The sequence below is a fragment of the Homo sapiens genome, chromosome 8 (genome assembly GCF_000001405.40).
Source record: "Homo sapiens chromosome 8, GRCh38.p14 Primary Assembly".
Taxonomy (NCBI): Eukaryota; Metazoa; Chordata; class Mammalia; order Primates; family Hominidae; genus Homo; species Homo sapiens.
The window spans coordinates 79,986,742-80,000,138 of record NC_000008.11 but is presented as its reverse complement, the minus strand read 5'-3'; the positions used below and the strand labels follow the sequence as shown (position 1 = coordinate 80,000,138).

The following is a 13,397-nucleotide window of genomic DNA, read 5'->3' as shown; positions in this document are numbered from 1 at the left end:
TCTTCAATTTGCCAGGTACTGTTGTAAAGACTGGTAAACCAGACAGACTAGTTCTCTGCTCTCTTGAAGTGCATATGCAAATGGGGGAAGGAGGCATAGATAGTAAACAAGTACATGAATCAATTTAAAATATTGGTAATTACATAAGTAAAAATGGATAATATGGTGACAGAGTGCCTGGTGAGTGGAAAATAACAGTAGTCAAAAAAGGCCTTTGACTTCTAGTTCTAGTTCTGTAAGTCTGAAATGTCATCAAAGTGACTTTAAAAAAAAAAGATAAGAGTCAAGGCTTCAGCTATCTCTGAAGCTCTCTCTCTTCAGCTTCCTCTTTGGTCCTACAGACTGATAATGTTATTTCTAACTGTGCCCAATCTTCAGCCAAGGTTTAACATCAGTAGTTTGATTACTTATTTTCTCTACCTGCATATCCTATGTACATACCCTTACGGCTATGTAGATAACAACTCCAGCTCTTTATCGACATACATTGTTTTTTGGAGAGAAACTTTTTAACATAGCAAATTTCATGTTCTCCAGTTTTTAATCTGTCATGAAATGAAGGTTTATACTCTTCACAGAATGATTATTAGATCTTCATTTGTACACGTAGAAATGCCTAGGTTCTTTCCAAAACCCTTCTCTAGGTTTCTTATAGGGATCTGTCACTTATGCTTTGAAAATATTATTGAGAATTGTCAGGTCAGCATAATTACTATTTTGGTTACTGATTACTCCTACTTATATCTAAAACAAAATTTGTGGGTAAGAACCTACTTAATTCAAATGTTTGCCTGTTGTCTTTATCACTGAACAAGGAAGTAATGAGATCCAGCTCAGTTGTTTGTGGTCTTCCCCTTTTTGTACCTGTACGTTTAGATTATATGACGAGGTAGAACAGCTTATTGGGCTGGACACGTGTTCTCTGCAGTTATACTGTCAGGCCTCTGACTGAGCAGCTTCTAGGAGGCTGAATCTCCATAATAGCAGAGCTTCCTGCTTTGGTACATTTTAAATTGTTATAAATAAGAGAAATATTTACATAATCTGTTCATCATTCATCAGCCTGCCCTTTTTTTTGATCCTTTTAGAGAACTATTTTCTTCTCTTCATACAGACTTTTGTGTAGTTGAATAATGCTACTTTAGGACAGTTTAAAGATTAATTAAATACAATGAAAAATAACTAATTGAAATATCCAGTTTAGCCAAATGTTTTAATTTTTTATTGTTTCTTTTAATAAGTAAGTTTGGCATTTCAGACTTATAACAACTAATAGGGATCAGAAAATATTTTGATTAATGAATATTCTAATTAGCTAAATAATAGCCTTTTAAGTTCTATAACTTTTGTTTTAATGTTCATTTTTGATTATAGTTTAAAGGAGCAGTTTTTAGTCTTTGTACCAAAACGCCCTAGAGTTTTGCAGAAAAGCATAAGATATTGCTTATTGGGGATAAAGGGGCAGTTGGGCCCTACTTTCAGAGCAGCCCTGCATTTATCTGTTTTATGTATTATAGCTCTGGGACAATTTTGTTTAATGTGTGTGGTGAGTATTTCTACTGTAAATAAGAAAAGTTTGAAAAACACTTGGAAAGGAAGAAACTAATTTTAGAAAGACATGACCTTAATAGTAGCATTCAGAATCTAAGCTATAGTACTTAAGCATGAACAATAGTAATTTGATCTACTTAGAGTGAGTTGCAAAATAGACATACGTATATTTAGAGATTTTGAGACATGCATGGGACCTTATAGTACCAGCCTCAAAAGTTATAATTATTATATTTTTCTTTTAAATCAGCTTATGACTTGAAGTCAGAAATCACATATGACAAATCAGAATGACTCAGAATGGCATTAACTTCTTTGGAAGTTATCATTTAATAACTGATTTGTCAAATCAATTGACATCATCTTTTTCTTTTGTAAAGCCCACTGACAGATACCAACACCACATGGAACATTAGAAATTAGTAGTCCTGTACTATACCTAGGCACTTTGGTTTCTTCCAGTTGAGGTATATGTTTAGCAAAAGCTCAGTTGTGCTTGTTTCTTTCTTTCTTTCTTTCTTTTTTTTTTTTTTGAGACAGAGTCTTGTTCTGTCACCCAGGCTGGAGTGCAGTGGCATGATCTCAGCTCATTGCAACTTCTGCCTCCCAGGTTCAAGCAATTCTTGTGCCTCAGCCTCCTGAGTAGCTGGGATTACAGGCATGTGCCACCATGCTCAGCTAATTTTTGTATTTTTAGTGGAGACAGGGTTTTGCCGTGTTGGCCAGGCTGGTCTTGAACTCCTGGCGTCAAGTGATCCGCCCGTCTCAGCCTCCCAAAGTGCTGGGATTACAGGCTAAGCCACCATGCCCGGCCTAGTTGTACTCATTTCAGAATGTGTTTATATTAAGAAATTTACTTGAATATTGTACAAACTAATAAAATTTGAATACAGAAAGGGTTTTTGTTCTTATGAATGCTAACTTTAATGTTTTAGAAAGACTCCATAACAGAAAACTTTGGTTTTTTTTTTTTCCCCCATCTCTGCTGCTTGAATCAGAAAGGAGAGAGTTTTTTGTTTTTAAGAAATTGCTATTGAATTAGATTGTGCAAGAAAACTGTAGATTGAAACAAAAATTATAAAAACGTGAAAGGTATTGCTTTCCAATTGTCTTTCTGTTCTTGTTCTACTTTCACATGACTGGCCCTGGCAGTCACAGACCTTGCAGTGTGGGTATTGTTATGTGAGGAAGAGCAGAGCTTCAGTGAGTGGACCCCCTACTGAGAGAGAACGCCTTGGCCCCATATTAGAATATTTGCATTAATCTGCTTTAAGTTAATATTTTTGCTGTGTACATGTATACTTTTTTTATGAGTCTTTAACCTAATTTACCATGAACCTTTCTGTGAGTCAGAGGGCTTGTATGGTAATTTAAAAATACAGAGCACTTTTCCCATCATGGGAACCTGTTTTTAGACATTTTTTTCTGTCATATTAATGCAGCAAACAATTTCACAGACTTGATTGTTTCCTTTCTATATTCCATCTGATTTCCTTCTGATAATCTTAACAGCTTTTTAAAAACCTACACTGGTATTTTATGTATATTGTCTTATATATTCTTCACAACAAACATAGATAGTAGGTATTATCCACATTTCCCAAATGAAGAAAATGAGTCTCTGAGCATAAATAATGTGCTGCAGTCATGCAACTAGGGATTAACAAAGCAGGGATTCAAATCTAGGGCTGTGTATATCCAAATTTTCTTTTCACCCCGCTGTGCTTCACTCTAAATCATACAATATATAGTAACTCAAGCATCATAAAGACTTCCTAAAACAGTCTTACATATGAAGCAGTTTCATTCCAGGGACCCTGAAGGCAGTGTGGCAGTGAAGCTCTGTGGAGGTCTGTTAAAAAATCATAGGTAGTCTGTTATATCTTTGGTTATGGTGTCCATTGTTGCTGTGGTCTGAATGTTTGTGTCCCTGCAGAATTCATTTGTTGGAACATAATCACCAGTGTGATGTAGTTAGGAGGCTGGGCTTTTGGGAGGTACTTAGGTCATGAGGATTCTGCCCTCGTGAGTGGGATTAGTGAACTGGCTAGTTAGTTAATCTATGAACCAGAACCAGGTCTTCATGACACTAAATATGCTTGTGCCTTGATCCTGGACTTCCAGCCTCTAGAACTATGAGAAAGAAGTTTCTGCTGTTTATAAGATACCCTCATTTATGGTGTTTTGTTATTCAGATCGAACAGACTAGGAAATAGTATGGTAAGTTGGAATAGTGTAACCCCCAATAAGCTAATAACTATCAGGTCTAGGCTTTGTTTTGTAATGGATCTGTATCATAATTGTGGTAAGACCTCTAGTCACAGGACCTGGTTAATATCAGTATGCCTCATGTTATTTGGGAATGATGTATTTCAAAAAAGTTTATTGTGTAAATAATAGAAAATTGGCTATTTATACCTAATATACTTAATTTTTAATTGTTTATTGGTTCTTTTAATAAAATGTATTATATACTTTCTTTGAACCTTGTTAGACCTAAAATAGTTGAACCTTTTTTTGTTTTTGCTTTTGATGACCCAGGGTCATAATTATAAACATTAATTTCTATATTGTATCATAATAAAAATATACAGAATTATTGCTGCATAACCATATAACCCTCCAGTTCTGCAGTTTTGTGTTATCTCTCCTTTACTGCTGTTATGCCCTTGTCTGCTTTTTATAGCTTTCTCAGACCTCCTAATTTTCCTCTTCCAGTATGCCTATACTTGGGAGATCAGTCATCAAATTTGTTGTGCTTAAAATAAGAACAACTAGGGTTTGAGTAAGGACCTAGCAGCCTCTTCTGTGAGTAAAGTGTGGGTACTTTAGTGTATGGACTTCAACATGTATTCTGACAGCTCCTAAACTCCTTCTGTTTAGGTCTCACTGGGCTGTGTAGCTACTTGATGTCACCAGATAACTAACTTCCTGATAAGTGAAGTGTAACTGGGTTGGAGTTTTGCCTATGTCGACTCCCTGTTCACTGATGCCCTTGATAGGGATTGTCACATATCAGAACAGTGTTTGTTGAACCAATCAAGGTGCCGAGTGTTTTGGACATGAGCATTTATCATGGTTGAGACTTTAACACCTCCAGTAGGGGCAGTAGCAAAAATAAGGTGGAATTATTCAATCCGAAATCCTGCTTGAGATGGTACCAATTCTTATAGTGAATTTGCAAATAAATGAGTAAATTTCTTAAAACTCTTGTTAAGCCCAAAGAATTGCTTTATAGCATTGATTAGTTTGGATGCCTTGTAATGCACTGGTAAAACATTTTATCAATCTCAAGAAATAAGCTGCTTATTTTATGAATTTTATTTTTAAATGAACTGGGCATGATAAGATTTTTCATTGAGTCACCAAACTTTTAATGAGCATCTATTATGTGCTACCTGTGTATTTAAGGCTAGTGACATACAGACTAATGACAATCCCTGCTTCCAGGGAGTTGATCTGGTCAGGGGGATAGAGAAGTAAACCAATAAATATAACATCATATAAGTTCTGTTCATTGTATTCTACAGGCATGGAGAAGGAATCGATGGTTCAATCTGCTTGTGTCAGAGGCTTCCCAGAGGAACTAACAATAGAACTGGGTTGCAAAGGATGGGTAGGAGATACTAAGTGCCGAAAGTGAGAGTGTTTCTGGGTGAAGGAGCAGCACTTGAACAAGTTTTAAATGAGAGAGAGGCTGCCTCTTCTGGGAATTCAAGTGGTTTAGTTGGCTTAAGTTTAGGAGGAGTGATGGGAGAGTGGGGAGATGACCAGGAGCCAGATTTTCAAGGAATTTACATATTGTCCTAAAAAATTGGGATTTTATTTTCAAAGTAGCAAAGAATCATTAAAATATTGTAACAAGGAACGTGGGTCAACTTTGTGTTTCAGTGAGATCATTCTGGCAGAGGTGTGGAGCATATTTCGGAAGAAGGATGTGAGAGGGCAGTTAGTAAGGAAGCTGCTGAAAAAAATGATGAGAATATGAATTAAATCTGAGGGTGGAGAAAGGAGACACATTTAGCAGTTTAGGAGGTGGAAGAGACAGGTCTTGGTGACTGAATAGTTGTGGTTGGTGAGAGAGAAAAATTTTGAATAATGTTTCATTTTGGACATGAATGGACTGGGTAGTGAGTTGGGTTGTGTTGGGGAGGTAGAGAAGGGGAGTGTGTTATTGATATTATTGCCTGCTTTAAAAACAAAAATTAAAATGCCCGGATGTAGATCACTTTTATTCTCTTATTTCCATTCAAGGTCATAATACTTGCGATTAGTGTTAGTCAGGAACATTCTCTTTTTATAATATAATATTGTATATATGTGTATAAAATCCCTGTGGTTAAACTATGCTGTTGCTTTGGTCAAAGAGCCAAATTCTCCAAATCTTTTCATTTCATTAAGTTGTATTTTAGTTTTGATTTTTCGAGAGTTGTAAACATTTCTGTAAAATCTTCAAGTCCAGTTTTATAAGTAAAGTCCGTTTACTAATGTGTTAATGAGGATTGTGTCTTTTAAAGCATTGTCTCTATGCTGGCTCTCTATCATAAAACACAGGATTGACAGCTCTGAAAATTGAAGGGTTTCAAAACAAGCATGATTGGCAGCTCTAAGGTAACTGGCACGTGCACTGAATCTTATTTGTACTTTTGTTTGACACTAAGGTGGAATAAACAAGCTAATTTTCCCATCTTTGTTTCTATTTCAGATTGTGTGATATGTAGGGTCAGATAAAGAGTGGAATGTATGTTGGATGTTTCAAAAACTAAAGTTTTCAAGGTGTATTGGTGGGGAAAAGAGAAAATAAGAATTTGAATTAAGTGGGTCATTTTATTGCAGAGGACATGGAACACATTAAAAAAGCATGCATGTTTTTATATAGGTTGGTGATTTAAAATCATTCTACTAGTTTTTCTTTAACAGATCTCTTCAGTCTTTTTTAGGATAGAAGAGCATCCGTTATATTTAGCTTTTTAATAGGAAACCTTAAAATATGTTCAAATATGATCAAATTATAAAGTATGATCTTAGAGATGTTCCAAGTTCATGAAACTCATGTAATTCAGACTGAATAGCATTGGAGGGGTTTTTTCTTGTTTGGATACATGCCATAACAAAATTCTTTTGGATTGATTTGTTGTATTGGATTGATTGTTCAATGGGATTCTGTTTTAATTGACATGCAAAATGGATTTGCTTTATGTAGCATATTCACATATGTATAGCTCTATCATTCCAGAGATTGTCTAAATTTACATCTCTAGGAAGTTTGCCTCATATGCCTTCTCAGGACTGTGAAGGTCAAAAGTGAATCTGGAAACTACTTTGGTAGCTGCATGTTAAGGAATGCAAGCAATTAAGTGTTCCCACAAAAGCTTTGAAGGTAATATCTTAATAGGACAGAGAGGAGAAAGAATCAGGGCTGCAGTCCTACAATTGGTTCAGGCTGTAGTTCTAGTGACCTACAAGTGGATTTTTTAAGAATTAAAAGCTATTTTAAAAGAAGGTCTGAGTTCTCTTTTGAATTTTGTCTTAATTTAGATTGCTGCTTGATAACATCTAGAGACTCATAGGGACTCAGAATTTCAGCACATATTTTGTGATTTGTAATTAATTATAAGAACAATAATAGCTAACATTTGTTGAATACTCTATGCTAGGTACTTTGTTAAGAGGTTTGCATGCATTATTTTCTTTAACCTTGTTATTACTCTAAGATACTGTTAGAATTCTCATTTAAAAACACTGAAGAAACTAAGGCTTACAGAGATACTTTAAATAACTTACCCAGGGACAGCAGCTAATAAGTATGCAGATGTGAGCTAAAGTAGCTTCTCTATATTGTTAACCACTACTTTATGCTACTTACTGAAATTACACTTTCAGGGTATGTGTCTATAAGTGTGTGTGAGATTTGTTAATTTTATCAGCAAATATTTATTGAGTACCTTAATCATAATGTGCTTAATGCAGTTTTTAAAAACTGTATGACATCTTCATCTTTAGGAGGAAAGATATAAACGTATAGCACAGTAACACAGAGGAATGTATGAATAAATGACTAAATGAATGATGTGGTCAAGCATCTGGCTTCTTCAAAGGAGAAGCCAGAGAAATGAAAGTTGAGATGGTTTCATAGACAAAAAAGTGCCTCCCAAAGACATGAAACTTCAGTTAGATACCGAAGGATAGAGAGGGAGTGTTGGGATGGATAATGAAAGGACATCTCTGGGGAAAATGGCATGAGGAATGGCACAGAATTGAGAATGAGCTTTGTGTGACTGTTCTCTATGTCTGTGTAACAAATTACTTCATAACTTAGTGGCTTAAAACAATAAACATGTATTATCTCACATAATTGCTGTGGGGCAGGAATCCAGGAATGCCTTAGCTAGATGATTCTGGCTCAAGGTCTCACATGAAGTTCAGTCAAGATATTAGCCAGGGCTGTAATCATCTGAAGGCTTGACTGGGGCTGGAGGATTTGCTTCTGAGGTAGCTCACTCATATGTCTGGCAAGTTAGTGCTGGTTATTGGCAGGAGGCCTCAGTTCCTTGGCACATGAATCTCACCATTGATGGGCTGCATGAGTGCCCTCACAACATAGCAACTTCCCCCATAGTAAGTGATGAGAGAGAGAGAGAGAGAGAGAGAGAGAGAGAGAGAGAGAGAGAGAGAGAGCAAGGAGGAAGTGGTGATGCCTTTTATGACCTAGTCACACATTGTCACTTCTGCCATATTCTGTTGGTTAATAACCAAGTGAGTCACAAAGCCCAGCCTATACTCAAGAGAAAGGGAATTGGGCTTTGCCTTTTAGAGGGAGGTGTACAGAGTTTGTGTATGCATTTTACGTATTTAATTTCTGTGTGTGAACAAAGCTTAACTTTTAATACAAAAATTTAGTAACTATAAAAACACAAAATATATGACAGCAAGATTTAAGAAAATGGAAACATCTTTCTCTGCTCTGTTTTCAGTGTTAAAAATATTTTCATCTCTAATATATTATTAGACACTACTTAAACCTAGATTTTCTGTATACTTCCAAGGTAACCTTTATTTTTTTCTTTCCAACTGTGATTCTAGGTATCTAAAATTCTTGTCTCCTTACTTATCCATACATTGAGTCAACTGCTAGCAGCTTTGAGCTACTTCAGTAAACATTTATCAAGTGGCTGCTCTTTGCTAGGCCTAGTGCTAGCTTTGGCTTTAAAAGTCCATACTGCTTCTCTTTCTGTCTCTATTAATTCAAATCTGGCAAAAGTTCTTTTTTTAAGCTGCTGACACTCCATTTTCTTAAGTAGTTATTTCTATCTCATGCAAGAGAGCCTTGCTAATTTCAGACAAATTTCAAACTATTTTTTATTTTGGTTAATTGAATTAAACTCTATCCAGCCATATAGTCCAGAAAGCCAAGAGTCAGAATAGACTCATTTCTCTTCATTACAACCTTCCTCCTGCATCCACTCAATCAGCTTTCCTCTTAATTATCACTGAAATCTGCCCTTTCCTCTGTCTCTACCATTAGGGCTTTTCTCCAGCCATGGATATCTTGTACCTTGTACCTGAATTTGCCACAGTTACTTTTTTTTTTTTTTTTTGAGATGGAGTCTTGCTCTGTCACCAGGCTGGAGTGCAATGGCATGATCTTGGCTCACTGCAACCTCCACCTCTGGGCTTCAAGAAATTCTCCTACCTCAGCCTCCCGAGTAGCTGGGACTACAGGCGCGCGCCATGCCCAGCTAATTTTGAATTTTTTTTTTTTTGTAGAGATGGGGTTTCACCATGTTGGCCAGGATGGTCTCAATCTCCTGACCTCATGATCTGCCCGCCTCGGCCTCCCAGAGTGCTAGGATTACAGACATGAGCCACTGCGCCTATCCCACAGTGACTTTCTCCTAATCATTGTCTTTGTTTCCATTCTCTTTGCTCCTCTATTCTATTCTTTTTCTTTTTGCTGTGTATGCATTTAAAGTGACCACAGTGGTCAAGATTCCATGACATGGAAGTTTTAGGGAGTGGTGAAATATTTGCTTTGCTAGATAGGCTAGTATCCTTATAGATAAGTCTGAATTTCAGGGTGAAAAGTTATGATGGTGGTGTTTGGGGATTGGCATTTTTGTATGCTGACATTAGTAGTGATGTGTGAGATGGAGTGGATACCATAAGACCAGTTCTGAGACTGTTGTAATCCAGACAAGAGGTGATTAGAGGCTGGACTAGAGTGGAAAGAGATGGGAACAGAAAGCTAGAAGAGCCTGTTCAGAGAAAGACTGATAGGACTCGGTAACTCATGCTAAAGGTTTCTAGCCCAGGTGACTAGAAAAATAGAGGTCACAGCCGTAGGGAAGTGGGGTAGAGAACTGTTCAAAGGGCAGGAGTTCTGTTTTAGACATGTTATGGTTATTCTATCTTTATTTATTTATTTTTGAAACAGGATCTCACTCTGTCACCCAGGTTGGAATGCAGTGGTGCAATCTCAGCTCACTGCAACCTCCACCTCCTGGGCTCAAGCGATTCTTGTGCTTCTGCCTCCTGAGTAGCCGGGACTACAGGCGTCTGCCACCATGCCTGGCTAATGTTGTCTGTGTGTGTTTTTGGTAGAGGTGGAGTTTTACCATGTTGCCCAGGCTAGTCTTGAACTCTTGAGCTCAGGTGATCCACCCACCTCAGCCTCCCAAACTGCTGGGATTACAGGTGTGAGCCACTGTGCCTGGTCATGTTGTGATTTTTCTGTAGGCATTTGGTGACATGGGATTGGAAATATGAGAAATTAGGTTGTGGAATAACAGTAGACCTGGGATTGTTAATAGCAACTTCATATTAGGCTCTAAGTGCCTTGATCTTCTGCCTTTATCAGCAAAAACAAAACAAAACAAAACAAAATATAAAGGCAACAGCATCACTGCAGTTATGTTTGTACCACATTAAGTGAGAGTGCCTGCCTTGAAGAAATGTTGCGGGGTTCATGTTCAGGCATCCTATTACAGAAAAAAAGCTAAATTTCTAAAAGTGAAATGCAAATGTAAAAATAACAGGATCCTTTTAGAAAAACAGTGTAGCTTTGCCAAGTATATTATTCTTATTATTCAACTTCAGGACTCTAAAATTCTTTCATTCATTTCTCGTAGATTTCTTATTACTTTACCTACTTCACTCTTAGGCATCTGTTCTTTGCTTCTATGTCCTTAGAAGATAACCTTATCTCCTTTCTTGAAATCAAGTTTGTACCTTAGTTTAAACCGTATAAAATTGCAGCTTTTAACGTCAAAATAGTTGAGTATCTGAAATTTCAACTGATTCAAGCTAATACTCCCTGGATTTCCTATTTCTTACCTTAAATTTTTTCTATATCATTTTTTCTAGATAGTTTGGTAAGATTGCAAACATTTTAGCATGTTTCCCCTTAAAACTATTGTACTTTTCCCATTCCCAAATTACCGTTCATTCATCAGTTCAGCCCACCAGGCTCTGCCCTCACCATTATACTTGTTGAAAGCACCCTCTTAAACTCATCAGGGACATCTGGTTACCTGCCCACTAGTTTCTGCTTAACTGCTTTGTATTATTCAATAATATTGGCTATTCCCTTCTCAGAAATTGTCACATACCTTTATTTTCTTGATTCTCCTTCTACTTCTCTGTTCTTTTTCTATATTCTTCTAGGAAGTGCTTTATACAATTTTAGAGGGTAAAAATGGCAGGAAGCAGATACAGTAGTTTTTGGCATGTGCAAGGAAGTCAAGCAAGACAAGTAACAGGAAGAACATAGGAGTGGAGGGCAAGAGATCTAGGTTCTAACCCTGTATCTGTCAGTGTGTACAGTAGAAATTCATTTACCCAGGAGTCTGATGAACAGAATTGTTCAAAAAGGCTTATTTTGGAGCTGTCTGTTTTAAAAATCACAGCACTATAATAATTAAAGAATACTTTTATGTGTCTATAAATGACATTTGTGTTTTTTATGTCTCCATTTATACATATCCATTTTTCTTTTATTGAATATATTAGGAATTATTTAGGTTCAACATTGTCCTATACTTGAAAACATGATGCTTTGTTCTTACCTTGTTTTAATTTTTAATAAAATATTTTTCCATAAATATATCACAGTTAGGTTTCTTTCTTTTTTTAATTTTTTTATTTTTATTTATTTTATTTTATTATTATTATACTTTAAGTTTTAGGGTACATGTGCACAATGTGCAGGTTAGTTACATACATATACACGTGCCATGCTGGTGTGCTGCACCCATTAACTTGTCATTTAGCATTAGGTATATCTCCTAAAGCTATCCCTCCCCCCTCCCCCCACCCCACGATAGTCCCCAGAGTGTGATGTTCCCCTTCCTGTGTCCATGTGTTCTCATTGTTCAATTCCCACCTATGAGTGAGAATATGCGGTGTTTGGTTTTTTGTTCTTGCGATAGTTTACTGAGAATGATGATTTCCAGTTTCATCCATGTCCCTACAAAGGACATGAACTCATCATTTTTTATGGCTGCATAGTATTCCATGGTGTATATGTGCCACATTTTCTTAATTCAGTCTATCATTGTTGGACATTTGGGTTGGTTCCAAGTCGTTGCTATTGTGAATAGAGCCGCAGTAAACATACATGTGCATGTGTCTTTATAGCAGCATGATTTATAGTCCTTTGGGTATATACCCAGTAATGGGATGGCTGGGTCAAATGGTACTTCTAGTTCTAGATCCCTGAGGAATCGCCACACTGACTTCCACAATGGTTAAACTAGTGTCCCACCAACCGTGTAAAAGTGTTCCTATTTCTCCACATCCTCTCCAGCACCTGTTGTTTCCTGACTTTTTAATGATTGCCATTCTAACTCGTGTGAGATGGTATCTCATTGTGGTTTTGATTAGCATTTCTCTGATGGCCAGTGATGGTGAGCATTTTTTCATGTGTTTTTTGGCTGCATAAATGTCTTCCTTTGAGAAGTGTCTGTTCATGTCCTTTGCCCACTTTTTGATGGGGTTGTTTGATTTTTTCTTGTAAATTTGTTTGAGTTCATTGTAGATTCTGGATATTAGCCCTTTGTCAGATGAGTAGGTTGTGAAAATTTTCTCCCATTCTGTAGGTTGCCTGTTCACTCTGATGGTAGTTTCTTTTGCTGTGCAGAAGCTCTTTAGTTTAATTAGATCCCATTTGTCAATTTTGGCTTTTGTTGCCATTGCTTTTGGTGTTTTAGACATGAAGTCCTTTTCCATGCCTATGTCCTGAATGGTAATGCCTAGGTTTTCTTCTAGGGTTTTTATGGTTTTAGGTCTAACATTTAAGTCTTTAATCCATCTTGAATTGATTTTTGTATAAGGTGTAAGGAAGGGATCCAGTTTCAGCTTTCTACATATGGCTAGCCAGTTTTCCCAACACCATTTATTAAATAGGGAATCCTTTCCCCATTGCTTGTTTTTGTCAGGTTTGTCAAAGATCAGATAGTTGTAGCTATGCGGCGTTATTTCTGAGGGCTCTGTTCTGTTCCATTGATCTATATCTCTGTTTTGGTACCAGTACCATGCTGTTTTGGTTACTGTAGCCTTGTAGTATAGTTTGAAGTCAGGTAGCGTGATGCCTCCAGCTTTGTTCTTTTGGCTCAGGATTGACTTGGCGATGTGGGCTCTTTTTTGGTTCCATATGAGCTTGAAAGTAGTTTTTTCCAATTCTGTGAAGAAAGTCATCGGTAGCTTGATGGGGATGGCATTGAATCTATAAATTACCTTGGGCAGTATGGCCATTTTCATGATATTGATTCTTCCTACCCATGAGCATGGAATGTTCTTCCATTTGTTTGTATCCTCTTTTATTTCGTTGAGCAGTGGTTTGTAGTTCT

General features: G+C 36.8%; 2 protein-coding genes across 2 annotated transcripts in view, besides 1 other annotated feature; both read left to right on the top strand.

Moving 5' to 3' along the window:
• The window catches only part of TPD52-MRPS28 (TPD52-MRPS28 readthrough), a 252,848-nt gene that overhangs the window by 171,426 nt on the left and 68,025 nt on the right, over positions 1-13,397 (top strand). The gene's annotated exons all lie outside the window — the stretch shown is intronic.
• The window catches only part of MRPS28 (mitochondrial ribosomal protein S28), a 111,543-nt gene that overhangs the window by 30,121 nt on the left and 68,025 nt on the right, over positions 1-13,397 (top strand). The window lies entirely within an intron of this gene.
• Positions 2,478-3,027: an enhancer, noted in NCBI's record as "OCT4-NANOG hESC enhancer chr8:80909347-80909896 (GRCh37/hg19 assembly coordinates)". NCBI's record gives its function as "activates a minimal SCP1, AML or CMV promoter by ChIP-STARR-seq in primed H9 embryonic stem cells {active_cell/tissue: H9 hESC(primed)}" and the evidence as "EXISTENCE:reporter gene assay evidence [ECO:0000049][PMID:30033119]".